The 27,987-nt window shown below is 38.3% G+C and overlaps 1 protein-coding gene and 1 long non-coding RNA gene across 6 annotated transcripts in view; one reads left to right on the forward strand and one right to left on the reverse strand.

Annotated features, from left to right (window-relative positions):
- TRHDE (thyrotropin releasing hormone degrading enzyme) overlaps window positions 1-27,987 on the forward strand; it is a 583,493-nt gene that overhangs the window by 165,095 nt on the left and 390,411 nt on the right. For 3 of the 4 annotated variants that reach the window (NM_013381.3, XM_017019243.3, XM_005268819.6), the window contains exon 1: window positions 20,010-21,197. The exons of the other annotated variant lie outside the window; for it this stretch is intronic. In NM_013381.3, coding sequence (NP_037513.2) covers window positions 20,284-21,197 — 914 coding nt within the window. In that variant the 5' untranslated portion in view covers window positions 20,010-20,283. Of the gene's footprint in view, window positions 1-20,009; window positions 21,198-27,987 lie in introns of those variants that run through there. 4 annotated transcript variants of the gene reach the window in all.
- On the reverse strand, window positions 1,147-21,149 carry TRHDE-AS1 (TRHDE antisense RNA 1). 2 transcript variants are annotated; one of them, NR_026836.1, is made up of 3 exons: window positions 20,405-21,149; window positions 19,463-19,802; window positions 10,187-12,261 (listed from the first exon to the last, which is right to left on the reverse strand). It is a non-coding gene; the product is annotated as a TRHDE antisense RNA 1 (long non-coding RNA). The 2 variants fall into 2 exon arrangements; NR_026837.1 differs by lacking the exon at window positions 10,187-12,261 and adding an exon at window positions 1,147-3,414 and having other exon boundaries at window positions 19,463-21,149.

Consider the following 27,987-nt stretch of genomic DNA (forward strand, 5'->3'; position numbering starts at 1 on the left):
TTCAGCACAACTTGTTGCAAGGCTATCCTTCCTTCACTGAATTACTTCTGCACTTTTGTCACAAATCGATTGGAAAACAATCAGTTGGAAATGTTTATATGGGTCTATTCCTGTGTTTTCTCTTCTGTTCCATTGATCTGAGTCCATGCCTTGGCAAATACCACACAGTCTTGAGTACTGTTACTGTATTATAAAGCTTAATATCAGGTAGAGTGATTCCTCTCACTTTATTCTTCTTTTCAGATTATCTTAGATATTCTAAGGTTTGTGCTTTTCATATAAATTTTAGAATAGGCTAGCCAATGCCTACAAAAAACTTCCCTGAATTTTGATAATTGTCTTATACCTACAGATTACTTTGAGGCAAATTGACATTTTTACTATGTTGAGTCTTCCAATTTGTGACTATAGTATGTCTCTCTGTTTATTTGTCATCACTGATTTCTTTCATCAGCATTTGCAATTTTCAGCATCAGATAGTATACATTTTTTTGCCTCATTAAGTTGCCTCATAAAACATTAAGTTTATACCTCAATATTTCATTTTCCTTGGGTTGATTGTAAATGTGTTTTAATTTTGGTTTTCATACGTTTATTGTTACTACAGTAATTCTCACATAATGCCATTGGTAGGTTCTTAGAAACTGTAATTTTAAGTGACATGATGTATGGCAGGTCCTGAAATAATGTAGTTTTGTTCAACATCATTTTGTTATAACTTTGATGATGAAAAATTGGGTTTAGTTTTATGTTGTTTTGCTTAAAGTCAGTTTCCAAGAACCTATTGATGATATTAAGAGAGAGGACTTACTGTATATAGAAATGACATTGGTTTTCATCTCGATCTTATATCCTGTGATCTTGCTGAAATCACTTTTTAAGTTCTCGGAATTTTATTTTTGTATAATCCATGGGTTTACTAAATAGACAATCATGTCATCTGCACACAGGGACTATTTTAATTCTTCCTTTTGAAACTGTATACATTTTATTTCTTTTCTTCTTCTGCTTCCCCCCAACCCCCATTTCAGTGGCTAGAACTTGTAGTGCTGTGTTGAATAGGAGTGGTGAGAACTGAATCTTTGCCTTGTTCCCTATCTTAGAGAAAAGCATTCTGTCTTTCAGCATTAAGAATGACAGCTGTAGGTTTTTAAAAAAATGAACTTTATTTTTTACAGCAATTTTAGTCTCACAGAAGATTGAGTAGAAGGTACAGAAATTGCTCACACATCTCCTTTCCCCACACATGTATAGCTTCCCTCCTTAGCAACATTCACCACCAGAGTGGTACATTTGTTATAACTGATGAAAATAAGGTTTTTAAAGACACTCTTCATTAAGTTGAAGTAATTCCTATCCCTAACTTGCTGAGAGTTTTTAATTACAAATGAATATTGGATTTTATCAAATGCTTTTTCTGCATTAATTGATATAATCATCTTCTTTAGCCTGCCAATTCTTCCTCCTCATCCTGTTAATTTGGGGGCTTATGATGATGAGGCTTGCTATGAAAATTGAGTCTTGGTGGAAAGCCAGGTGTCAGTCATGAAGTATTATAAATGAAATTCAAAGGAATGGATTCATAATACATAGTACAGGAATTCCCTACTGTACATTAAAATTGAGTGGCAGTCAGTGGAATTAAGTATGAATTCTTAATAAAAAATAGTACAGAAAAGGATACATGTATGTTGCATTCTGGAGCAAGGAGGAATGTATTGCCTAATGAGAAACAAAACCACTATTTTCTAGGATTCACTGTGCCTTAAGCATAGTGACCTCATTTCAATAACGAGTACTGCATAATAATACTTCTTCAACTTTACAGGGACCTACAACCTATTCATTCTATCTCATTTTCACTATTTTTAACCTTCCACCCCTCTTATCTCTATTTTCCTTCCTGTCCAGTTTTGATCATGGTCCATGTTTATAATTGCTCCCCTGCCAATATCCTTTATCTCCCTTGTCCCACTCTTCCCTGGTTGTAGTTGCTTGACCCTCAATTCTATTAAATCCAACTCTCCAACTACTCCAGGCCTGCACACACATGCAAAAATTGGCTCTAGAGAAAGTTCAAATTTGTGACTACCAATATAATATGAGCATTTAGGCCCAACAGTCCTAAGGGCCAGCATTTTCATTATCTATGTTCTACTTACTTGTCCTCTTAGATTAGTATATCCTTTTCCTTTTTTCTTCAAACCTTTAACACCTTCTTCCTCATCTTCACTCAGCTGATTTTTGCTTCCCACTTTATTGAGAAAATAGAAACAATGGAAAAGAAAAGAATGTTCACAAACATCCACTACCACAGGTACCCACTTAACCATCTTCCTACTGGTTCCTACAGATGAATTGCCTGATCTCAAACAAAGACCCATGCCTTTTCTTCTAGAACCCATCCCCTCTCACCCGTTATAGGACAAGATTCCAACAAATCCCTTTCTTTCTTGCATCATCAAGATTTTCCCCATGAGTAGATCACTTCCATTAGCATATGAACATGCTATAAATAACTCTTCCCCCATCCAAAAATGATGTCCCATTCTCTACCACTCTTTACAGAAAGGCTCCTGGAAATACTTGTCTGTACTCTCCACATACTACTGCTCTTTTTCCATTCACTCTTGAACCTTCTTCAGTTAGGCTTTTTCCTCCAACACTCCACTGAGACTGTTCATGTGAAGGTCACTAATGACTTGCACAATGCCAAAGATAATGATCACTTCTTGGACCACATATTCTTGACTATTTGCAATACTGACAGAAAAATCTTGATCTTCCCCTCAAATCTGTCCCTCCGTAAGCTTTTGCCATCTTAATAAATTGCGAAGTGGTTTCACCAATAACCAATCCCAAGAGAGGACTTCCACTCTGTGGAGGACAGAAGAGATCATCATCACTGTGTCAACCACAAGGAACAGGAGTCTGAACACTTCTGTCCACTGCGTCCTCAGCTGCAGTGTTACCAATTCCCTGAGTCTATGAGACAGAACACACTCATATGCAACACGTTACATGAAGCAAGTTAATTACTTACAGATAGGCAGCAAGAAACAAAACAAAAGAAGCCTGTGATCCATTGTGAGTAGGTTCCCCAAGGTTCGAGAAAGCTGCCTCGAGCAGATGGAGTCTTGATTGTGCCTGCTTCAGTTACACCACAGCTGAGGAACCTGGAAAGGCAGCCCGCCCTCCACCACAGGGGCAGTGTGACTCAGTGGATGAGCTTTGGAGGTAATCTTCCTTCTCAGGAGAGAGGAACAATCCCCGGGCTGTTCCGGGCAGTTCCTCTTTAACTTGAGATGTTACATTCCCTAGGAAGTACAGGAATAAGATCCAGGCTGTTTCAGGCAGTTCTTCCTTATCTCAGGACATTGCATTCCCAGCACATTTTACAGTTATTCTTGGTAACTGTAAACAAGAAAGGGGGAGAACTGGGTGGGTCCAGGGCCATTCAGGGAACTGTCCTGCGATAAATGTCAACTTCATCCATCTAGCTGCTCAGATCAAACATCCTGGTATCAACCTTGAGGTTTCTTACCTACAACCCATGTATAATCCTTCAGCAAAACTCTTACCACTTCTCACCACCCCTCTACTACCATCCTTATCCAAGCTACAATCATCTCTTGCATGGATTATTTCAATTACCCTCTTTTTTATCTTTCAGTGAATGTTCATTAAATCTACCGGAAGGACTTTTCTAAAACCTACAATAGGTCATGTCATTCCTCAGGTCAAAAGTTGACCATCCATCAACTTTCATGGCTCTTTCCAATTGAAAGTCAACTTTTATCAGTTGCTTTCCATCACTTAGTAGAAGTCTAAGTACTTACAATAGCCTACAAAACCTTACCCAGTCTTGGCTCCCCATTATTTTTCCAACCCCACCTACTTTTCCTTTTTTCCTACTTTACTCCTCTCTGGCCACCCAGACCTGCTTGCCATATCTCAGACACCAGCAACATTCCTGTATCAATTCCTTTGCTTTTGTTGTTCCCTCTTCCCCAGATATCAACATACTTCACTTCCTGCAGATCCTTGTTCAAATTTGAGGGCTTCCCTAACTATCATATTTAGTATTGTAACCCTTTCTTCCTGGGCCCAGCACTCCCTATCGCCCTATCTATTTTACTTCATTTTAAAAAAAAATTGTCTCCCTTATTAGAATGCAAGTTCCACAAGATCAGAATTTTAATCTGTTTTGTTCACTATGCCAAGAACAGTGCCTTGCACACGTTTGTTGCTTAATAAATATTTGTTGACTAAATGAATGAATGAATGAATAGCAGAGATGACAGCCTTTGGACAAGTTTCCAAAGAGAAGCCTTGTGGTCTAATACTTGCATTAGTTACCATGTTGAAAAGAGATTGCTGTAAATTGGTACAGCCCCTTCCTGTGGTACACAGAATATCTAAGGAGAGCTGCAGTCCTTTGAGAGATGTGAAGATCCTGGGCTAGAAGAACAGACCCAGGCTCTCATCAGCACAGAGATGAAGCTTACTGAGAATGGCTCCCCTGGATGAAAGCAAATAGCACTCATACCAGCTATGCCTGAACATGGCACCATGTGAAATGACCAATAACTGCGGTATGCAGTTCTAGTTCCAATAGTTTTTTATTGTGGGGATCTCAGAGGGAATTATGACATTGGGAGTCATTTTCATGAGGCCACAAATAGTGTTGCCAAGTGGCTTAATTTTTTTTATCATCTTTGTTGTAATTGTTGTCATCTTTATGATTATCCTTTCATTATTATTGGAGTGATTATGAGGAGAAAAGCACCAGGCTATCTAATACAGGTTGAACATCCTTAATCCAAAAATCTGAAATCCGATGCTCCAAAATCCAAAACTATTTCAATGCCAACATGATGCACTCCAGGTAACAAGTGGAAAATTCCACACCTGACTTTAGGTAATGGGTTACAGTCAAACAGTCAAAACTTTGTTTCATGCACAAAACTATTAAAAATATTATATTAAATTAACTTCAGGCTATGGTGTTTAAAGGGCATATAAAACATAAATGAATTTTGTGTTTAGACTTGGGTCCCACCCCTAAGATATCTCACTATGTATATGCAAATATTCCAAAATCTGAAATCCAAAACACTTCTTGACCGAAACATTTAGAATAAGTGATTTTTGATATTTCCCCAGTTTCTGTGAGTTAGATTCAGGCAAGAGAGCTAAAATATCTCTCCCAATATAACTTGGGTCATTGTTTCTCAGATGCTTTAGATGGATGAATATTGCTGGAGATTTTAGAAAATCTGGTGGTTTCTGTCTTCTTTCTATCTCCCCTTTTATTACTAAAGAATGGTAGTCAAGGTAATTTGAATTTAGATCTTCTAAAGTTCCTTCTCTTTTAATAACTTCACACATTCCTGACAAGTGCTGTTTAGAGTGGCAGACTGACTTTATGCAGAGGAAGATGGTTTAGAAAATAAAAAAGTTTAAAAAGGGGAACGTTTACATCCTGATTTTCTTTCATGTTTCAAGTGAGGAGTTTGAATACTTTAGATTATAGGAGCAAGAAAAATTGCTGGAGGTCCACTTCTATTTAATAAATTTTAAGAACAGTTTAAATAGTTGGTCCAAAGAAGGGGAAAATATTGATAAAGAGGAAAAGGGAGGAGAGACAGCTGGGTAGAAGATGAGGGTGCAGAAGGGTAAATGTATAGTTACTCTTTTCTCTTGTCTCACCAGATGCTACTTAAACTATTTGTCATGGGGATAAGCAGGATGAGGCAAATTACTTTATGTTCAGAATAGGTTCTTCCAGTAGGGTGAATGCAGCTTCCAAAAATAAAGGAGAGTAGGAAGGAAGGTAAGAAGAAAAGGAAAGAAAATAAAAGATAAAAGTAGTGCAGAAGGTATTCTCAAAGTATCTTTTGCTGTGTTTAAAATGGGTACACAAGCTACGTGAAAGGAAAATGTGAATAGGCAAAGCTGGTGCCTACAGGATGCCAACAGAGTAGACAAACCCCAAACAGTAAAACCTGTTTTGAAAAAACTGATTGGTTGATGTTATGTAATTAGTTCATCTTCTTTTCCATTTTATTGATGCTGTCATTAATTTCCCATTAATGTCCCTTTCTTGGCTTATATAACTTTAGAGCTGCACAGTGAGAGCCTAAAAAAAGAATTAATAAGAATAAAGTGGGTTTTATTTTTTCATTTTCAAACTTACAGAAAATTTACATGAATGAATTTAATAAATTTGCATGAACAGTATGGTGGACTCCTGAATATACTTCTCCCAGAGACCCGATTCAAGTTTTGCCAGTTGTTCTCATGTCTTTATAGTAAAAAGGTCCAGTTCAGGAGAAGACGTTACACTCCATTGTCTGCCATGTCTCTCTATCTCCTTTTAGTCTGAATGAGTTCTGCAATCTCTACTTGACTTTCATGGCCTTGACATTTTCCAAGGTCAGTTATTCAATAGAAGTTCTCCAAATTTCTGTTGTCCAATGTTTCCTCTTGATTATAACCAGGTTATAAATTTTAGAGAAGTGATGTTGTGTTTTTCTCATTGCATTTGATTAGGTGACATATGATACTGATTTTTCCAATTACTGGGAGTGTTAACTTTGATCACTTCATCAGATAGTGTCTGTTAGGTTTCTCCACTATAATGTTAACTTTTTCTCCCTTTGTAATTAAACATTTTGTAGAAAGATACTTTGAAACTCTGTAAAATTCTGTTTCTCATCTCACTTTCATCCACTAATTTTAGTATTTATTGATGTCTTGCTTGAATTCCTTTTGTATTTATTACTTGGCATTCTAATTTAAGAAATAATCTCTTACCCATTTATTTTCTTCCCATTTATCTATTTACTTACTATATAATTGTGGATTCATGGGTTCCTCTTTATGCAGTGGATTATAATCCACTACTCTCATTACTTATTTATATGCTTAAGTTGTTCCAGATTTGGTCAGTAGGAGCTCCTTCAAGGTGGCTCCTGGATCCTTTGGTCATGTTCTCATTGTTTTTCTGAGAACTTTCTTACCTTCTGGCCCAACATGTTCAAAGCTCCTTATTCTTCCCCTGTTCTGCTTTCAGAGTCTCAATAAACTCTTGTTTCTTATAGTGGAAAGCATTTAGAAATCAAGACTGGGCATTAAACTTGCTCATTGCTGCTCAGGCATTGTTGCTCCCAGGTCCCTTCAATGGATACATACAGACACACACTTAAATCCATGTTTATTTACATGTCATATATATTTATATATCCACTCTTCCAATTCCAATCTAATAACACATCATTCATCTCAACTTTTCCTCTTTCCATGTTTGTACCTTCTCCAGCATTAGGAAAGTGGACTCCCTGTGTGGAGCCAAGCATCTGATTCTACCAGGCCTCTGCCCTGCTCAGCAGCCCTCCCTCTATAGACCCTGACTCCCATCAAACTGCCTTCATGCCCACTCTAGCTCCCGCTTTGTGTGGACCCTGACACTCAGTAACACCCTTTCAATGGAAAGAAAGAGAGGCAAGCACTGGCCTCATTTTCTAACTGACCTTTCTGCATTGGCTGGCTATTTAGGCATCATGTAAATGTAGTGAATTGGTAACAGTGTTCTTAAAACAGCAGAGTTATAGCATGTGAGTATTTTATTTATTTAAATTCAACTTAATTAAAATACTGAAAATATTGTAAGATGGCACATACTTTCTATGCACATCTATATATGCACGTTGCTGTATAGGAAGGGATCCACAAAATCATGGTTTACTGCAATGTGTGCACAGTTTAGGAATTTTTTTCAAGTGCAAATTTGACATTAGGTGCTTCTTACCTTATATGCTGATTTCAAAATCTAACTCTTCTATCAAGTAGGACTCTATTGTATAGCCTAAATTGTTTCAACATCTACTCAAATTCTTTCTCCAGGAGAACCATCATTTGGTTTCCAAAAAGGAAGCTGAGAGGATCACACACTGATTCTAGAACATATTACTTATTCAGGAAAAATGATACTTTTTTTTGGTAGGTAATCCTCTCTAAAATGTAGATTAATGCTCTGGTGACAAGTTTCTAGGCTAGAGCTAGGGAAAAGTAGGGTCTTGACTGTGGGACCAACTCCAATAGAGTGGCTCACTGGGAGCAACTGGACACGGGAGCAACAATGCCTGAGCAGCAGTGAGCAAATTTAATGCCCAGTCTTGATTTATAAATGCATTTTTCCACTATAAGAAACAAGAGTTTATTGAGACTCTAAAAGTAGAACAGGGAAGGAATAGAGTCAAAGGAGGCCAAGCTGAAGAGCACCCTTATCAGGCATACAGCCAAAAAGAGTGCTGGGCAGGGAAGAGGACATAAGACATAAGCTTTAAATGAAAGAAGGGAGTAGTAAGGGCCAAGAAGCTGATGATAAATACTACCAAATGGAGCCTTCGTTCATTCGAAATACGCGTATGAAGGACAGTATGTCCCAGAATCTTTGCTTACTCTGTGGATACAGAAATGAATATATGTGTTTCCTGCCCTGAAGAAACTTTCATTGTAGTAGAAAGGAATCATGCCAATAGTTACAAGGTATCTCAAGAGTCTTGCTACAGTCTTTAGATTTGTGAATTTTGACAGTCGTTGGTAAATTACTTTCCACAAGGCTTACACCAAGTTATAGAGTTGGAAGCCATTTCTAGATACTACTTTTAACACCCTTTCACACAGTATTTTATGTATTTGAAATGCACAGTTTAAGAAAGATTTAGATTAAAATTTTAGATATTTTCCCCCTTTCTTTCCTTTTCTTGAGATGTTAAGTAAGTATGAAGGAAGTAGATAATGATTTTCTGAGAAAAAGTTAAAGTGCTTACCAGTTGTATTTTCCCAGATCTTGATGGTACCGGACTGGACTCCAAAGGGTACAGTAAATTATCTTTCAGTTAAAGCACTAACTTTGGTTTAGTGTTCATTAACTCTACAATTTTAGACTAGCTTTTGAGTAAATGAACATTATTCAGCTTAGTGTAAAGTTGTCTGGACTTTACAAAACCAGGCAGTCATAACAAACTTTTCTGCAGGCAGTTAATGTGGCTGGCAGAGACCTATTTTGAGGATTTAAAGAAATGATAGATTACTCTTAGTAGTGATTATAAATAATAAGCAATGCTATCTGTGATATTTACCTACTGCAGAATTTTGGCTTTTGAAAATGGAATTTGGCTCCTTTCCCTTTACTTTTAGATATTTATTGTTCATTAGTAAGCTCTCTTTTATAGCTGCTAGTGGACCTTCTTTTGCTGCTGACATGCTTTCAGTTCCATAGAGTTTGTGGGCAAAATGGTATTAGAAAAGCAAGTAAATCATCCTGATGTTCTATATATTACCTTGGCAAATAATTCTTTGGGCAAGAGCTCTAGACTAATAAATGAGAACATGTGGATAATTTAGAATTGTTTCTTTTTTAGAATCAATAGCCTGGGAATTGAAAAATTCAAAGTGCTTTTCCATGGCATTATTGTTTGAATTAATTTTTTACAAAACAATTTCAGTTCATTTGGAACTGGCTCTGTGTCTCTTCAATTTGTACTCTGAGAAAGAACTGAAGAACACTGAACTTTGGAAAAAATTTAATAAAGTCAGTTCACAATGGAACACCAGAAGATTAAGTTCCTCAGGCCTAATTCTTTTAGAATTGTGGGAACAGACAGGAGGTGAAGATCAGCAGCTGTCCATCCATCTGCAGAGCAGAAGCTCCCCTCTCAGGTTGGCAGTAGCAGGCAAAGGCTGGTGAAATGAGACTGAGGTCAAGACTACAATTCGTTCTCTTGTTTTAATGCAATTTCAACTAGCTAATATGTACAAGGCATTTCAGGAGCATTAACATTTTGAGCCTTAGGCAATCAGATCTGAAGGCTCATTCTGTTTGATTCATAATGTGGATTATATTTTATAAGGTCGCTAAGACTTGATTATTTGCATATCCTAGAGGGTATAGCTCCTGCTCTGAACATTTAAAAGGAAACTCCTATAGAACATTGAACATTAAACAGAAAGCTACTATAGGTAAATCTCATAGAAATAAAAAAATTCTATAATCATAGTGTTAAAATTAAATGTTTGGATGATTATCACATCAGCAGTTTAATTTGACTATCTTGGTAACCACTGAAAATGAAGGAGTGGCACAAAGAGCCATTGGTGCATTTTATAACACTGCAAGTTAGCATAGTGATAACACTTTTATTCAGACCATATAGAAACATGAACATTCGTCTCTCATCTACTTGCAACTATATCTTTACAGATAGATATAAAGACATATATACACCCAAGTAAGACACAATTATCACAGAAAGTATTGTAAACATTAATGTTAATTTGTGGACATACATTGATTTGAAACAAATCCTTTACTTTAAATAGCTTTGATTTTCTGTCTATAAGATGAAAGAGAACATTAATAGCCATCACTCATGAAGTTTACCTAGTTGGATGTTAGCGCTTCTAAAAATGAATCAATATTCATTACTTTTCCACATTGAAAGATTAAAGGAATAAATAATTTTTTGAAACTGAAAATGAAATTCTCAGAAATGTCAAGAAAATCTTTAGTGCAGTCTCATTTTAAGAAAAATTGAAGACAGATCATAAAAACCATTTGATATTAAAAAGGCTATTGTTACATAATGTAACCCAATTAATTAGGATCTGCTTAATTTGAAATATGTAACAGAGTAAAGGTAAAATGTGTTTTGCTTCTTGTAACTTGTTTAAAAAACCCCATATAGTTCATAAAAATAAAAATGAGAAGAGGATAAAATTTATCCCAGGAATTGTGTGCTGAAGTATCACCTATTTGTACATAGTTCAGTCCCCATTGCCCCCAAAACTGTATGTGTTCAGAGGTTTTCTGGAGGGTCTTATGCAGAAGTTTGTTCAACTTAAACTGAAGGAAGACATACTTTAACTATCAAAGCTAAAGTTGAAGCATGGGGGTCGGGGAATGGTCAAAACTTTTTCATGGTCCCCAGGTTAAAAAAAAAAAAGCCGTTTCTCTAGTGTGTGTGCATGTTTTGTTTTGTTTTGTTTTGTTTTGTTTGTTTTTTGGTTCAACTCTAAAAACAGGACTTGTTCTGTGACAGCCACATAAAGGTTAAATGGAGGATTATAGATTAAATGTTACCATTCTAGTGCATCTTTTAATTTGCTCCTATACCGAATCCATAGGAAACTGGATATATGTCAGAATGTCATGGACAGATTGATGTATCAATGAGTATAGCAATTAAAATGCATTTCCTGAATTGGAAAGCACAATACATTGCTTTTAGACACAAAGCACAGGATTCACTCATTAAGAATAACTAGGGAGTTAAATTCTAGGGTTTCTGCAGTCTTACTCATGGTATTTGACTGCCTTGGTTCTATAATCAGATTTTAGCAAGCCTATAAAAATACTTAAAACTTTTTTGTTGTTGGTGGTGTGCTTCCAGCATAGCTAATGGATAGCTTATGACATTCAGCTTATAGGTCAAATCTGAGGTCTTATTGCATATCCGGGGAAAATTACTTTTTGAGTAACATATAGTACAACCTTCCACTCTTAATAGGGCAGGAGGAGTTCAGATACAAACACTTACACATTCAAAGTGACCAGATTACATGTTTTCTACTTGTTCTGAAATGACTCCATAAATGCGATTTAAAAATTTATTTCTCCACCACAACACACAAAAAATGTAGCAATAAATTCTAACATGTTCAGGTGAAACCATTCCTTTTCACTTGGCTATTCAAAAGATTATTATAACATCTCTAATACATGAAGAATGTTTGGGAACCTATAACACATTTCTTGTGTGTCTCAATTAAAAAAGACATTTCAATGCACTATACTGACTTTTCCTTATTCCCTTGTAACTGCAACATAATTAAAAAATAAACCGAGTAAGGTAACTCAATGCAAATTCAATCTGATGTTAGAAGTAAGCTGCATATGAGACTAAATCAGATATGGGAGCTTTTTCTAAAACAGGACTAAGCAGTGTTTCAAATCACCTAGAATCAATTATCATGGGACATTGTTGTAGAAATGATACTAAGTTAAAAAACATTTTTCTTATGAAAAAATCACAAGTCAGAGCTTGCCACTTACGTTATGCAAGATAAGTTTAGTGATGATCTTGTAAATGAATATCGATTTTTGTGTAGACTCCAATATTTCTAATCTATGAGAAACTGTTCTGGGATCAAAAATGGCCAACTTCAGAATCTTCTTGTGAAGTGGTTGCTTCTCTGAGAAAACAAACAAAATTGTCTCATATGTGAATTATCACATTTCTTTGTAAGTCTAGCTTTAATACAAGCTGAGTTAAAAACCAAAAAACCCTCCAGACCCTATATATGTATTGTTACTGGCTGACCCACAAGGTGGCACTAAAGAGAAAAGTGACAAAAGTAAAGATCACAGGCAAGTTAGATATTAAATCAACTGTATTATAAGAATTAAATCTATTTCATAAAATGATACCAAATTTTAATATGCCGATAACTCAAAACAGTTATCTTTAGGTTCATTGTTTTTTTTTTTAATAGAGACTGTTCTAGAGCCAAAAGTTTCATTCAATCAAGCAGCTGGTTATTTTCAAGAGTTAATAATTGAATTTTTTGTGTAGTTATTTTGTGGGAAAGTTATTTCTCTTTGTAGATACAGACTCCATGATTATTATTTGATTGTAAACTCTGTTTCTCTTTTATCTTTTCTATAGTGCCTAGTGCTTAATGTTGTTAATACAAATGTAAAAAAAAAAGACCCAACATATTTAACTTTATAATACAAAGCATACTAACATATTTAGATTTTAATATTTGTAATTATAGCATACAAATAAATTTTTTAATGATCAAGAAAAAGCCATTTTAGCCAAAGTCTAATTGTTTGAACTTCAAGAATAATTCTTGGATCCCCAAATATATTTTTCACCTAACTTTCAAGGCACTTGGAGAGTAACTTCTGAGCCTGTATAGGGATGTGAATGGGACAATACTCTCAGAAAAACATGTACAGAGAGAGAAAAAATGGTATGTTGGTGTAGCCTTGGTGTGTAACCCTGAAATTAAAGAGGTATGGAGGATTCTTATAGTGTCATGTGGTGGAAGAAACTGGTAATTTTCTAGCAAACATCTCTGTATATAAGCAAGGAAAAGGCATGAACCCCACCCCCCCAGAAAAAAAGAGCTATTTTTCAGTTCACGATTAAGAAAATATATTATTTATGTACAGATCTAGTACCTGAAGAAAAAAATCAGAATACATCTTTTTCCATAGTTTGAAAGTAGGAATTCAGTGAGGTTTTAAAATAAAACAATTATAATTATTGTTGTATATTTGTTATATATACACATATTGTGATCTAGTCTCTAACAGAAGGTGTGTTTCTCATGTCAACATGACTGTATCTTTGACCAGAATCCTCACTTGGCAAAACTATATATATTTTATATTATGTTACATATCATTAAAAATAAGAAAACACTGTAGTTCAAAATTAGCTTTTAAAATTTACATACAGCGATATGACCTCAATACTAGCGATATTTCATTATCTAAAAGAAAAATTTCACCATATTTCTTCCAATGTCTCTTCATCAGCCCATTTATAATAATCACTTGTTATTCAGATTCAAGAAAATACTGTAATTACCTCATTTAAACAGCTATATTGATAAACATTTATGTATTAAGCAGAATCTATCTGTAGTAAGCGAAGTTTTTAAGTGATAAACAATATTTTATTATTAAATGAAAGAATGGGGAATAAATGATTGGAAGACAGAAAAACATATATGGACTAGAAGATACATGTGGATGAAATAAAGCAGGATATTTTATGTCTGTGTGACTTTACATTAATATTTATCTATTGCGCCTTTGAAGCAGATATTTTTCATGGTTTGAGAGGTGAGGCACCATTCAAATTATGTAAATTTGCGCTGTCAAATAAGCCTGGGTTAAATATATATTTTTGGATGCATTGAAGAGGTAGATTCCTAAAGCATGTAAACTGCTTATTCTGCAGTATGAAAATAAGCTATAGTCAACTCTTTCAATTACTTAGTTCTCAGTCCAGGAATAATAATGTTGTCAGGTTTTCTTTTTATCATTATCTTACAAAATTATAATTATTTCTTTGTTCAGGGTCATACTAGATTATTCTCTATTCATTTATTAACAAACACGTAGCACTTACCATGTGCTAGGCACTGTCCTCTCCAAGGAGAGTATAGACCAGGCATGTTTGCTTCAGTGCTATATCCCTAGCACAGTGCCTGGCACTGACTTCATAATTTATGTAGCAAGTATTCATTATGCAATTGGATAGTTTATATTTGGCTTACCTTTCAGGAAGTAGTATGACATAAAGGTTAAGTATAAAGGTGATGAAATGACCTGCGTGGCTTTGAATTCCAACTCTGCCATCTACTAATTAAATGACTCTGGCCAAGATATTTAATCTTTTTCAGCTTCAGTTTCTTGATTTGTCAAGTGGAGGAAATAATAGCATTGACCTGAAGGTGGTGATTTTCATGATTACATAAGACAGCATAAAATGCTTAGACAAATACTTGGTACAAGTTAAGCCCTTGAAGAATCTTAGCTATTATTATTATTTTCATTAATTCTTCCTGCCATATTTATCTGGAAACATGGATTTGAGCAATTTAAGTTCATGGTAACAATTATAGGAGTATATTCACTATTTCCATTTCTTGAGTGACTAGACAAATTAACTAGTTTAACGGAAACATTTCTGGAACAAGAGTTAATTTCTATTGTTTGTAGACTTTGGTCTATATTATGTTTGCAGGTTTCATGAATAAATTGTAAACATTTCCATGATCTATACTTTGACTTTTTATAGAGCTTTCTTATAGAAGTCATAAACCAAAGAGCCTAGAGTGAACGCTAAAAAGTTTTAACCTAGCATGAGAACCCCTCAAATAAAGATATAACTTTCTTGAGATACTAATTCTCTCTTTGGATATAACATGTAATGCTAAAATTGGAAATGACACTTGAATTATTTGGTCATTCTTTTCCTTACATTTGCTCTTTACAGATATCCATTTTATGCTGTGAGGCTTGTTCTAGCTTGGTATAAACATAATCATGAGACTTTTCTGGGACTAAAAACACATAGTATAATATTAATAGGTTAGGAAATATTTCTATTAAAAACAACTTCAAGTATGAGGCTGCAATGAGCTCTTATCACACCATTGCACTCCAGCCTGGGCGACAGAGTGAGACCTAATCTCTAAAAAAATATGTGTAATAAAAAGTAAAAATAAAAAATGAAAAAAGATAAAAACAAATTCATGGTTTCACAGGTTTTTATGAGGTAAAAAGATATAATCAAATTTAGATGTAAATTCCATTGAGATTAATCCTTTTAAATACACAAGTCAGACAACTAACAGTTAAATGAAGGTGTTAGTTGTTGTGGACAAACTACAGAAATCGTGAAATTTCACCATCTCAATTATAGCTGATTTTAAATAATTCTTTCCTTATCTTCAAGATCTTGAGGAATGTTCTGTCTGGAAGGGTAGTTCTTATATGAAACCCCACAACAACATCAACAGATCAGTGGGTCAAATGTTGTAAAATTTTGAAAGTCTGCAGTATAAAAATATTAATAAACTTTGCAGTAATGTTAATTTCTCCAAATTAAAAATTTCATCAAATGATCAGTTTCAAATTTCAAACTGCTGTTTTGCTATTGCCACATGGCGGCACCACTTCAGCTGCTAAACAGAAACTTCACCATTCTTTTTTCATATTGGTCTCCAGTTGAGGGAGGTCTTCAGAAACATATCCCTCTCATACGATACATCAGTCTAGTTTTGACTGCCAGAATAGTAAGATTTGTTTGTTTCCCCCTGTTCTTTTTCTACTACAGTGTGCTTTTATAAAATTTACCCATTAAAGTTTTAGTTTTTAACTGAATTATTTTTTGCTTCTCATGAAGAAGATTAATTAAATATTTCTTGAGAACATAAAGAGGGTAGTATGTTAGCTTCTGTACTGTATATTTTTCACAGAAGTCCAGAGCTGAAAGATACCCCCAAATCTAACTCCTTTACACTAACATATTGAGAAATTGAGTCCATTAAGTACTGGGTTAGGACAATAGAGGAAGATGAAGGTGATCAGGATCTAGTTCTTTCCCCCGAGCCAAGCTGTTTCTGGACATGAGGTTTTACTCACATGTGAAGAGACTGAGTACCCGAGGACACCTAACTATGTGCTTCTATATACAAACCAGTGTGAAAAGAAACAAAAAAGGCAGTTAAATTGTAAACAATCAAATAGTAAGACCCTGGAGCCAATACATTCACTGAAGATAGTTCATTTTGATCATTTCAGGACCAAGGTGTAGATTTTATTAAAAACAACTTCTGTTTGGCCTCATGTATATTAAATATTCAGACAATTTTTACTTTTACAAGCCCCTGAATCAAATATGGCCACATCATGACTTTAGTGATATTTATTAGCTAAATAAAGTAATCATAAAATTCTCCTAACAAATAAACATGTTTCTGAGAGAAACATCAGGTACTTTAGGAAGTTTAATTTCCTTGTTTACAGCACCACATGGTCCCAGTATTGGTAAAATCAAACCTATCTTGAATCCAGTGACCTATAACACTGAAAGCAACCTTAAAAAGGAATATTAGTAAACTATGTCTTTATTTTTGTGAGGTGCGAACTCTGAAATTTCACCCCCCCACTTTTGCTTTGAAGGTAGAATGGACATTCTCTAGAAAAAATAATATTTAAAAATTATTTTACTAAAGTGCTTGCTTCTTTGGGAAAGCGTGCTATATATTTTCAGAAATTAAAAAAATAAAACTCACTGAAGACCTTTGTAACACTGATATGAAAGGAAGAAATATTTACCTACTTGATCTTGATAGTAAGTTTTATTATGCAAAGTTACATTTAAGGGGAATCCATGAGCTAGTAAGTTGTGTCCATTCTATATTAATAATCTTATGTCCACTCCACTTGGGTCTGAAAAAATAATCCATTTACTAATTTAATCACAGTTAGTAGAGACTTTATTAATTGGTAAATGTATTATTTAATTCTGAAATATTTGAGACTTTCCTTGTAGTAATTTTCAGAAGTACATAAACACATTAGTGAAATACAAAGAAGAACAGATGGAGGTAAAGAGAGGAAAGAGATAACAGACTGAGAACCGTGAGTGAGGGAAAGGGGAAAGATGAAGAGAACTGGGTTAAAGGGTACAAACACACAGCAAGACAGAAGGAATCTGGCTGTTCACTGTTTGAGAGCACAGTAGGGTGACTATACCTTGCAAAAATGTATTGTACTCAGGTGATGGACACCTTAAATACCCTGATTTTGATCACTACATATTATGTGCATGTAACAAAATTTCTCATGTATCCCACAAATTTGTACACATTTTTAAAAAAAGACAAACAGAAAAAGCCTTCTTTGAATCTTTTCTTGACTAATGTTTTAGAAAGAGAAAGTCTTAAAGATCCCTTAGTGGGTAACCTCTTCCTTTAGGCAGTGGGTCTTAGACTCCCCGGGATGATTCCAGAAGCCTCTGATAATCAAATGTACTCAATCCATGGATATTGGATCAGTAATACTAAATTACCAGTTTAAAACCCTAAAGTCAGAGAAGTCTGGTGACCTGCTGAGGATCGCAGGGCTCCTCTTACTTGCTTGCACTATAGTTCCTGATTCTGTGAAAACAAACCAATGAACCCCAACTCCTCAACTCTTAAAATGCATACAGCCAGATACATATGGACAGCAAGAGTACAGACATTTAAAAACAGAGCAGAAAAAAGTAACTTGAACAGAATGTGGCATTTCCCTTGGTCTGTTGCTAACGGCCCACATACAACATGCTTAAAAAATCCCACCCTGGCACTTATTTTCATCATCATTTAAAAATGATTCAAATGGACATTTAGAATGCATGGCATTGAGCATGTATCCCATCTGGGGATAAATGAAAAAGGGCTTCCTCGAGCAGGGCTGTGTTTTTAGTGGTTATCAAGCTAAGGTTAATGTGTAATTGGTCTCTTCTCTTTGGTCATGCTTTTAAAGCCAAACACAATATTTTAATTGTCTATTTTCAGTACTCCAAAGCCAGAAGCATTAACCAGTTCTTTTTGTAAGAAAATAGCTATGGACATGATTTGTAAAATGCCTTCAAGATTTGAAGACATGAAAGAAACATGTAAAAAGGAATTACCTAATTTTCTATTATTCACTTTTTTAATTAACCCAGAAGCCAATCACACTTTGTTTTACTAAACACTGGAGACTCCTGCTTCCTAGATGTCACCTTTGGGGTGGCTGTTTTCTGAATATTGTTCCAATTAGAGTTCTTCGCACAAATTCTGAAGGTTGGATATCCCACATACTTATACATACTCTGCAGTATAATTTTAAACTCCAATATACTCAGACAAGAGTCCATAACCAGCCAATGGGCTATGAACCTATTTTGATGCTGCCTGCTGTCAGCAAACTGGTCTATTGATAACTATCCTAACAAAGTTAAAACAATGTTCATGGTAACACTGGAAAGCTGCAAGAAAGTAATTATGGCTAGGTGAAATGAAAAACTGACCAATCATGGAATGTATTCGTTCACCGTTCTAATAAGCCCAGCTTTTCTCAGTCTCAGGGTTTTGGTCCTGAATGTTACACTGTAGACATTGTGTGTTAATCGTTTCTCCAATCTAAAGATGGGAATTATCCTATGGGGAAAACATCACCTTGCTTTGGCCTTTACTTCCGGAGGATTTTAATGCTTCATTGCTAACATTATTTTAGTACTGCACACCTGGACACATCGCACAGTATAATGTAATATATGTAGTCAGGTTTTGGAGAATTTATTTCAATTTACATACAATCCTCCAAATCCTCTGGCGAGCTTGATGTGAAATCTGACACAGCCACATCTCCCTAGCAGGATCTTCTTTTGCTCTCTATGTTAATAGCCAAAGGCTCCAAGGATCTCTCCCTGGAGCGCGGTGGGGCTAAGGAGTCAGGAAGAGGGGTGACTGCGGGGCTTGTTGCGCTGAAGATTTACAATGTACTTCTTGCAGGCGGCTCAGCAACCCCCTCTGTGGCTGTGGGTGTCTGGTGTGACAGAGCGGAGAAAAGCTCTCTAATCTCCCAGTGCCTGCCTCTGCCGCTCAGTCGCTCCCCTCCCTCCCGCCTTTCCTGCCTCCTCGCGCGCTCCCTCTCCTTTGCCTTTCTCTGGGAGTTTCAGTCCCTCAATGCAGCTGGAGTAGCCCTGGCAATCTAAACCCGAAGCCTGTGTATATACACACACGCACACACGCGCACACACATGCACACGCGCTCGGACATACGCACTTCGGCTCTCCCCCTTGGGATATGGAGCAAACCCAGAGCTTCATCTACCTGAAGGGGATGGCCCGGCCGGACACTTCTTTCTCACTTGTCATCTCCGGAGGGCAGAGCAAGACTGGAATGAGGGAGTCTCGCTGTCGGGTCTGCAACCTCCTGCCGTTTGCCGCCACCGCCGCTTAAAGTGCCCAGGGTGGAGAAGGCTTTTCCAGGACGGATCTCCGTCGTAGCTTCGCGGCCCTGGGACTTCCTCCTGCTGGTTCACTCTAGTCTCTCCCACCTCGGCCATCCTTTTCTCTCCAGCTGCAGGGTGTATGGCTCGGGTGCCTCCCGTGCTGTGGCCGCCGTCACTGCTGCTGCGAGCACATTCCACCCAGAGGACCGAACGCCGCCGCTGGAGTGGGGGGAGAAAGCGAAAGCCCTAACTTCCCTCTCTACACCCTCGCTCTTCCCACCGCTCCCGTCCTTCTCCCTAGCCGAGAACCGGTTGGAAGGCTCCCGCGGAAAGCGAGGCGAGAGCGCGGCGCAGGGGAGGGAGAGCCGGGAGCCGCAGGCGCGCAGGGGCGGGGGCAGCATGTGCCCCGCCGCCGGGTGCTCGTCCGAGAAGTAGCGCGCGCTGGGCAAGCAAGACGCTTTCCAAGTTGGGCGCGTCCCAGAGCTCACAGCCCGGTGTCCAGAGTGAGGCGGGGCTGATGGGGGTCGCGGAAGCTGCCGTCGCTTGTGTCCAGAACCCGTCTTAAAAGAACCCGGGCCAGCATCCCCAGTCGCGCGCCCTCGGCCCGCGTGAGCTCTCCGATGCCTGCTCTGGCTGTGGCCCGGGTGGCCCGCCCGCGGGGGGTGCCAGAGGGGGCGGGGGAGGAGGAGGAGGCGGTGTGATGGCCCTGGACGGCGAGCTGGGGGAGCAAGAGGAGGAGAAGAAAAAGAAGAAGAAAAAGAAGAGGAAGAAGAAGAAGGAGGAGGAGGAGGAGGAGGAGGGGGCCGAGAAGAGCAGCTCACCCTTCGCAGCCGCGATGGGGGAAGACGACGCCGCGCTTCGGGCTGGCAGCAGGGGGCTCTCCGACCCGTGGGCAGACTCAGTGGGAGTGCGACCCCGCACCACGGAGCGCCACATCGCCGTACACAAGCGGCTTGTGCTGGCCTTCGCTGTGTCCCTCGTGGCATTGCTCGCGGTCACAATGCTCGCTGTGCTGCTCAGCCTGCGCTTCGACGAGTGCGGGGCGAGTGCCACGCCAGGCGCCGACGGTGGCCCCTCAGGCTTTCCGGAGCGCGGCGGCAACGGGAGCCTCCCTGGATCGGCCCGGCGCAACCACCACGCAGGCGGGGACTCCTGGCAGCCCGAGGCGGGTGGGGTGGCCAGTCCGGGGACCACGTCGGCCCAGCCGCCGTCGGAGGAGGAGCGGGAGCCGTGGGAGCCGTGGACGCAGCTGCGCCTGTCGGGCCACCTGAAGCCGCTGCACTACAATCTGATGCTCACCGCCTTCATGGAGAACTTCACCTTCTCCGGGGAGGTCAACGTGGAGATCGCGTGCCGGAACGCCACCCGCTACGTAGTGCTGCACGCTTCCCGAGTGGCGGTGGAGAAAGTGCAGCTGGCCGAGGACCGGGCGTTCGGGGCTGTCCCTGTAGCCGGTTTTTTCCTCTACCCGCAAACCCAGGTCTTAGTGGTGGTGCTGAATAGGACACTGGACGCGCAGAGGAATTACAATCTGAAGATTATCTACAACGCGCTCATCGAGAATGAGCTCCTGGGCTTCTTCCGCAGCTCCTATGTGCTCCACGGGGAGAGAAGGTATGGAGGGAGGCGGTGCCCCGCGCTGCCCCACCCCGGCGCGCGGCTCGAACCTCTGGGCGGCCTGCGACCCCGGGGACCCAGCTGGCTTCCAATACCCGGGAAGCCAGGGGTGGGGGGAAGGAAACGAAAGCGGAGTAGGGCAGTCAGAACTCCGGGGTCTCCCAGATGCCTCGGGGTCTCGCTGCCGCCAACTTCGCAAACTGACTCACCGGTGCCAAAAGATGAATGCTGCCCCCTCCTCTAGTCGGGACCTCTCCTCTTCCTGTCAGAGTTCCTTAGCCATCGAAACGCAGGGCTCTTTTTCTGAAGGGTAGCTGATAATCTGAGCGATGCCAGAGTGACATGAAAAGCTTGCCAAGTTACTGTCGAGGGAAAATACGTGGCGCTGAAGGCCAAGACAACAGCGCATCCAGGTTAGCATGTCAGGGCAGGTCAGGGACACACCGTTCTCCACCCCCACCCACAACATGCCCATCTTCCCTGACTATTAGTCTCCTGCCAGGTGCAGAGCAGAGGATGGGCTTTGGCTGCGTCAAGTTTCCCCAAACTTCAAGTTGAGATTCGGAGTGAAAAGAGTGGTTTCCAGAGATAGGCTGAGAGGACCGGGACGGGGGTGGAGGTTGCCAAGGCCAGAGCCAGCGATAAGTGGCCTCGCGGGCGCTGCCAGCTCTGTGCTAAGGCAGGGCGACTCCGGTTGTTTGTTTATGAGTTGCTGCCTCTGGAGATGATTCCAGTGGCCAAGCGGTGGGAAAGCTAGTTGTCAGTCTCAAATGCCTTGTTAGTGTCTTTGCCGCGTTTTACATTTGTGTAGTTTTGTATTTTTATAAAAAATTTCCGAGAGGCCGTGGAGCTTTTCACCACTTGTTTAGAGCTCAGACCTCATAATCCAATAGAACTGAGTTCGAATCTCTGCTGTTCATCTAACTCTGGTGGAGGTTTGAGGAAGGTAATTAACCTTTTCCTGACATGACTACTTCTAGTGCTTATTGCACGCCCATGTACTCAATCCGACAAGAACCCTATGAGGTAGACGCTATTATCAGCATTCCCTATTTTACAGGTGGGGAAATGGAGGCACAGGTGTGTCACATAGCTTGATCAAGATCACCAAGAGTGAGCAGACAAAGCACGGATTTAGACCCAGGGAGTCTGGCTCTTGAGCCTAGACTTTTAATTCTAACTTGGGGATACCAATAATAATATTCTACTTGTAGGATTGGTGTAGACGTCTATGAGTGAATGCATTACAAAGTACTTACCCCTGTGCCTGGCATATAGAGTATCCACCATAAATGCTAGCTCTCATGAGTGTCTTGTGGCAGTAAGCTCTCAGGTATATTGTTGAATGAATAAGTGATTCTTGTTCTTTGCTCTAATTCCCACATTGCTAAGATAACTTAGATTAATTAAATGACTGAGGGCAGATGAACAACCAAAGTGAGCTTAAAAATTAAACCAACAACTTTAGAAGAGGAGGCAGGTTACAGATCAGTAATGAGGCAGAGCCTCTCCTTTTCTCAGGTGATTCTCACAACAGCAGAAAATGGGCTCGGAGAAGCCCAGGGCCCTGGAGGTGAGCAGGCTTGTCAGTGGAGAGTTAGGACTTGAACTTTGGTTCTCTAATCCCTGGACCAGACAGAGCTTATGGTGTTTGGAAACTCTCAGAAGAAGTTATTGTGTAAGAGGCTGGGGAAATTGCAATGTGTTGTGAAAGTAAGCAAAAGTTTTATTATTTATAGAGTTCTATGAAGTAACCTCCTATAAATAAAATGCCCAATGCTTTAGTAGCTGTATGATAGTTAAAACCTCCTATAAGTGAATGTATAAATTATTCACTTTCTTACTCCTGACATTAGATATGGATATTTTAAACCCCCTTCTACCACTTCCTCCAACATGTTCTAAAGAATACAGATTAAAAATATTTTTTAAACCCAGAATTATGTCAAATACGGGGGAAAGGCATAGAAAACAAATTTGCATACTATGTTTAGGAACAAGCTTCTTAGGTCAAAATGTCAATAGTGGGAGTTGCATATCATTACTGATACATCTTGCTGCAGTGAAATAAATGCTTTTGAAAAATCCTGTTTTTTGAGCCATGCCAAAATATGTTTGGCAGAACTGAGCTTGTTTTGGTCAATGCTTTCAAATTAACAGGACTCTTAAAAAGACCAGATGTTTCTGCTTGAACCGTAACTGATTTCTTGTACCCCTAGTGCGTATTTGTACTCAAACTCTCTTGCAGTTTTCCCCAAAGAAGTAAACAACTTGGTTGGAAGTTCAACCTAGTTAACATATAGTTAAACTCTTCATCCCAATAGAAATGCAGAACTCAGTGTTCTGAAAATCCCAGGATTGTTTTATTTCTAAACAGCATCTTAGAGAAAGTCCTTGTTCTTCATTTTTTTTTCCTTCCTCATTATTATTATTAGAGTAAATCTTATAATTTCTTGGATGTTTCTACTGGAGTTGATAAGACAAAAGAAATAAATCTAATAAACCATTTCATAGTTATGCAAACTTTCTATTTATTAAACATTTTTTGTTACTATAGCCACTTGGAGCATGGAGCATTTTTAAACAGACCCATATCAGCATCTCAGCTAGGGTTGGACTTTTATGTTGTCCACAAAATGCAATGTAAATTGGCATTTTAAAACCCACTTTCAAATAGGACGCAGATGCAAGCACTGAATTTTCATTTGATTAATGATTAAACATTTTGGTTTTTAGTTAGATATAATTTTGCCAATTTAATTATAGGGTAATGTCTGTAATAAAAACAAATATGTAATCTGATAAAGGAAGTCATATTGAGCAACTTGAAATGCTTAAAACAGCAATACTACAGTGCAGTCCACTTCTCTTAGCCTATGTGGAAACACTAACTCATTAAAATCCTATCAGTCTGATTCTTCAACTTGCTTCTCAGAGACCTGAGCAAAAGAATTTTGGTGACGGCAGGGAAATTAGATTCTACTGTGTGCTATATACCTTGGACCCCTGGAAGGTTTTACCCACCTCTGGGTGTTGTAAGTAGCCTGGCTTTGTACAACTGGGAAGACTTGCTTTTCCTGATTTCCATACTGTAATGTACAAAGGTTAGAAGACGAGCTCCCTCTTGAAGCCCAAGTTTTCCCAAGTTGAGACAAATTCTCTACTCTTGGTTACTACAGTTGTTGAACATTGAAAATAAATTCTCCTAAAATCCACATGTCTACACACCAATAAGTAAATTAGGCAGAATACATACTCACTTTTTCATCAACTAGGTGTGCAGCAGGCAGATAAAAATGGGTGTGTATTTATGCTGTAGTCTCCGACAAAAGAGTATGCTTGCTTAGAATTAGGTAAAATGTCCGTTTACCTGAAATAATTGCCACTTTTGGGTAGCCAGATGGTGAGCGCACCCGTGTTCAAAGTAGGGTACCTTAATTTAGATCCAGATGGTTGAATTGAAAGGGAAATATAGCCAAGATAAAGAACATTTTGTTCACTTTCAAAAGGGAGACTGTTTTTCTTTGACAAACTTTAATAGGGTCTATAACATGCCAAAGTGAGACGACATTAAAAATATGAGGTCCTTTTCTATAAAGGATTGTTTAGAGAGAAACTATAGTCTCCAAGTAAAATGGGAAAATAATAGTGGTAGTTCTCAAAGAGAATTGGGACCATCCTTTTGCAAAAATCTTGGGGAGAGAATGGAGGATTTTATCTCTGGGTAGGCATTTGCTCTACTGTGGTATTTGTGTGATCTGATGCCTTGTAATTTACTCAGAATGAATTAATACTCATGGTATTTAATACAAACAAGAAATTCACTACATTATTTTTAGATCGAAAGCAACTTCATTTCTCCCATTCACTTCGGTAAGAAGATAGCTTAACATGAGCAAGTAGGAGTATATTGCTTTTTGTCCCTCTATAGAGGACTGTGAACTGAAAAAAATCTTTGAGAACCATTTGTTTCTGTAAAAACTTTTTTCTGTGATTCCTTAATGGACTTAGCTCATTGTTTTTGTGTCAGGCTCACATAACCATATGGCAAAACTGAGTTCAGTGCTGGATTTTGAACACAATTCAAAATGCCACCAGTAAACCGTATCTAGACAATGTTTACTAAAAAAAAAGCTCTGACCATGTAATAATGACTCACTCAGGGAGAAAATCTATGCAATTGGTGTTTGTCTTTCTGTGTTTCCTGTAGTGCCATTTGATTTGATCACCCTGGATAATAATTAAATATACAGTTTTTTCAAATTAATTGACATAAAATTGTGTATATTTATCTTGTATAATCTAATGTTTTGAAGTATGCATACATTTGGAACAAATGTAGTTAATTAACAAATGCATCATCTCATATAGCTATTTTTGTGGTGAGAATGTTTAACATCTACTCTCAGCAGTTTTCAAGAATATAATATATTGTCATTAATTATAGTCACCTTGCTTTACAATAAGTCCCTTGAACTTATTCCTTTTTTCTAAGTAATTATATATCCTTTGACCAGTAACTCCTCAACTCCATTCTTCCCCTAACCTCTTATTATCTGGTAAACATTATTCTACTCTCTAATTCAGTGAGGTCAACTTTTTTAGTTTCCACATATTACTGAGATCATGCAATATTTGTCTTTTTGTGCCTGGCTTATTCACTTACATGAAGTCTTCCAGTTCATCCATGTTGTCTCAAATGACAGGATTTCCTTCTGTTTATGGCTGAATGGTATTTCATTAGTGTATGTATACATTTTCTTTATCCATCCATTCATTGATGAACTCTTAGGTTGGTTCTGTATCTCGGCTACTGTGAATAATGCTGCAATAAACATGTTGCAGATATCTCCTCAACATGATGATTTCTTTTTCTTTGGATATATAATCCACCAGTAGTGGGATTGCCAGATCATATGGTAGTTCTATTTTTAATTTTTTGATGAACCTCCATACTGTTTTCCATAATGGCTGTACTAATTTATAGTGTACTCATTTTCACCAACAGTGTACAAGGGTTCTTTTTGCTGCACATCCTTGCTAACAGTTGTTATCTTTTGTCTATTTGATAATAGCCATTCTTACAGGTGTGAGTTGACATCTCACTGTGGTTGCATTTCCCTGATGATAAGTCATGTTGAACATTTTTCATATACCGGTTGGCCATTTGTATGTCTTATTTTGAGAAATTTTCATTCAGGTCTTTTGCCCACTTTAAAAAATCAGATTTTGTTTTTTCTTGCTATTGAGTTGTTTGATTTCATTATATGTTTTGGTCATTAATCACTTATCAGATGTACAGACTGCGAATATTTTCTCCCATTCTATAGGTTGTCTTTTTACTTTACTGTTTATTGTCTTTGCTGTGCAGAAACATTTTAGTTTGATGCAATCCCGTTTGTCTATTTTTTGCTTTTGTTGCCTGTGCAGTTGCCTTTGTTTTTATTTATTCAATGCAACTCCAAACTGAGCCTATCTGCTTCGGATCCCTTTCAAATAAAGATGGACCTGATACTGGCTTTCCCAGTATTTGTTTGGTTTGCACAACATGTTTGTTTATTTAAACTGATTGTTGCCACTGTGTATGTGGATGGGCTTGAGCAAACAATGCAGGACATGTTTTAGGTGTGCTTGAGGGTGGTGACATTTGGTCAATATGATTTACAAAAATGGGACTTACCTCTGTAAGTATGACTTCAAGGAGTGATACAAAAACAGTGAGGAAGAAATAATTTACCTTTAAGGCATAAATGCTTTACGGTCTTTAAGGAGGGCATCCCTCCTTCACCCCCAATGCTCATCCTCCCAACCCCTAGCAATCATAATCTTCATCATCACCATCATCATCATCATCATTTCTCAATTCTTTGCATGTTCTTTACTGCCTTCCAGATTTACATTACTGGCCAGCTTCTACCAGGGTTTTTCAAAGTTCATGCCATCCTACTTTCTACTACAGGAGACTGCATACTTTCTCCCACAGATAGAATTTTACTAGGCAGAATTTTGGAAAATTCAAACGTGAAAAATACTTCCTGCTTTTTCCAGTTTCCTGGACAACCTAAAATGATGCACAAACAGGCACAGCTGTATGGTGGTGGTGGCAGTGTGAGGGTAGAATAAGATTGGCAGTGTTGCATGGAGCTGAATAAGGGTGAAGAACCCAGGCTCACCCTTCCTGCCTTCTTTGCCTCCAAGCTTCTGAATGCCTGGGTGGACCTGACATTTATAGAACTGTGGCCCCAGTTGTACAGGGACAGGGTGAATTAATTCCTCCCAGTGCACACCTATGTGTGTGCTGCAGGATGAAGTTTTGTTTTAATCATTCACATCTTTCCTCATGACTACACAACTAAAAAAAGAAAAATCAGAGGATAGACAAAGAAAGTAGTTCAAAAACTGTGGTTGTTGGTTACTTTTTACATCTTTTAAAAATAGATTATTTTTAAAAATCTTATATCTTTTAAAAAATAGTTCACTTTTGTTGTGTCGCTGGATGGAAAAGTGTGTGTGTATGTGTTTAGTGTGTTCATTCTCTTCCTCCTATGCAGGGACTGTGGAACCAGACTGCTTGGCCTCATATCCTGACTCTGCCACTTATTAGCTTTAAGACCTTGGCCAGATTTCCTAATTGCTGTGTGTCTAGTGTCCTCATCTGGAAAGTGGAGATAATGATATTCTATTGTACAGGGTTGTTGTGATGATTACATCAGTAATAAAGCACTTAGAACAGTGTCTGATAATTGGTAAGCACATCTGTGGTTATTAAATATAATTTTATTATTCC

Source organism: Homo sapiens, chromosome 12 (assembly GCF_000001405.40).
Source record: "Homo sapiens chromosome 12, GRCh38.p14 Primary Assembly".
NCBI classification, from domain to species: Eukaryota; Metazoa; Chordata; class Mammalia; order Primates; family Hominidae; genus Homo; species Homo sapiens.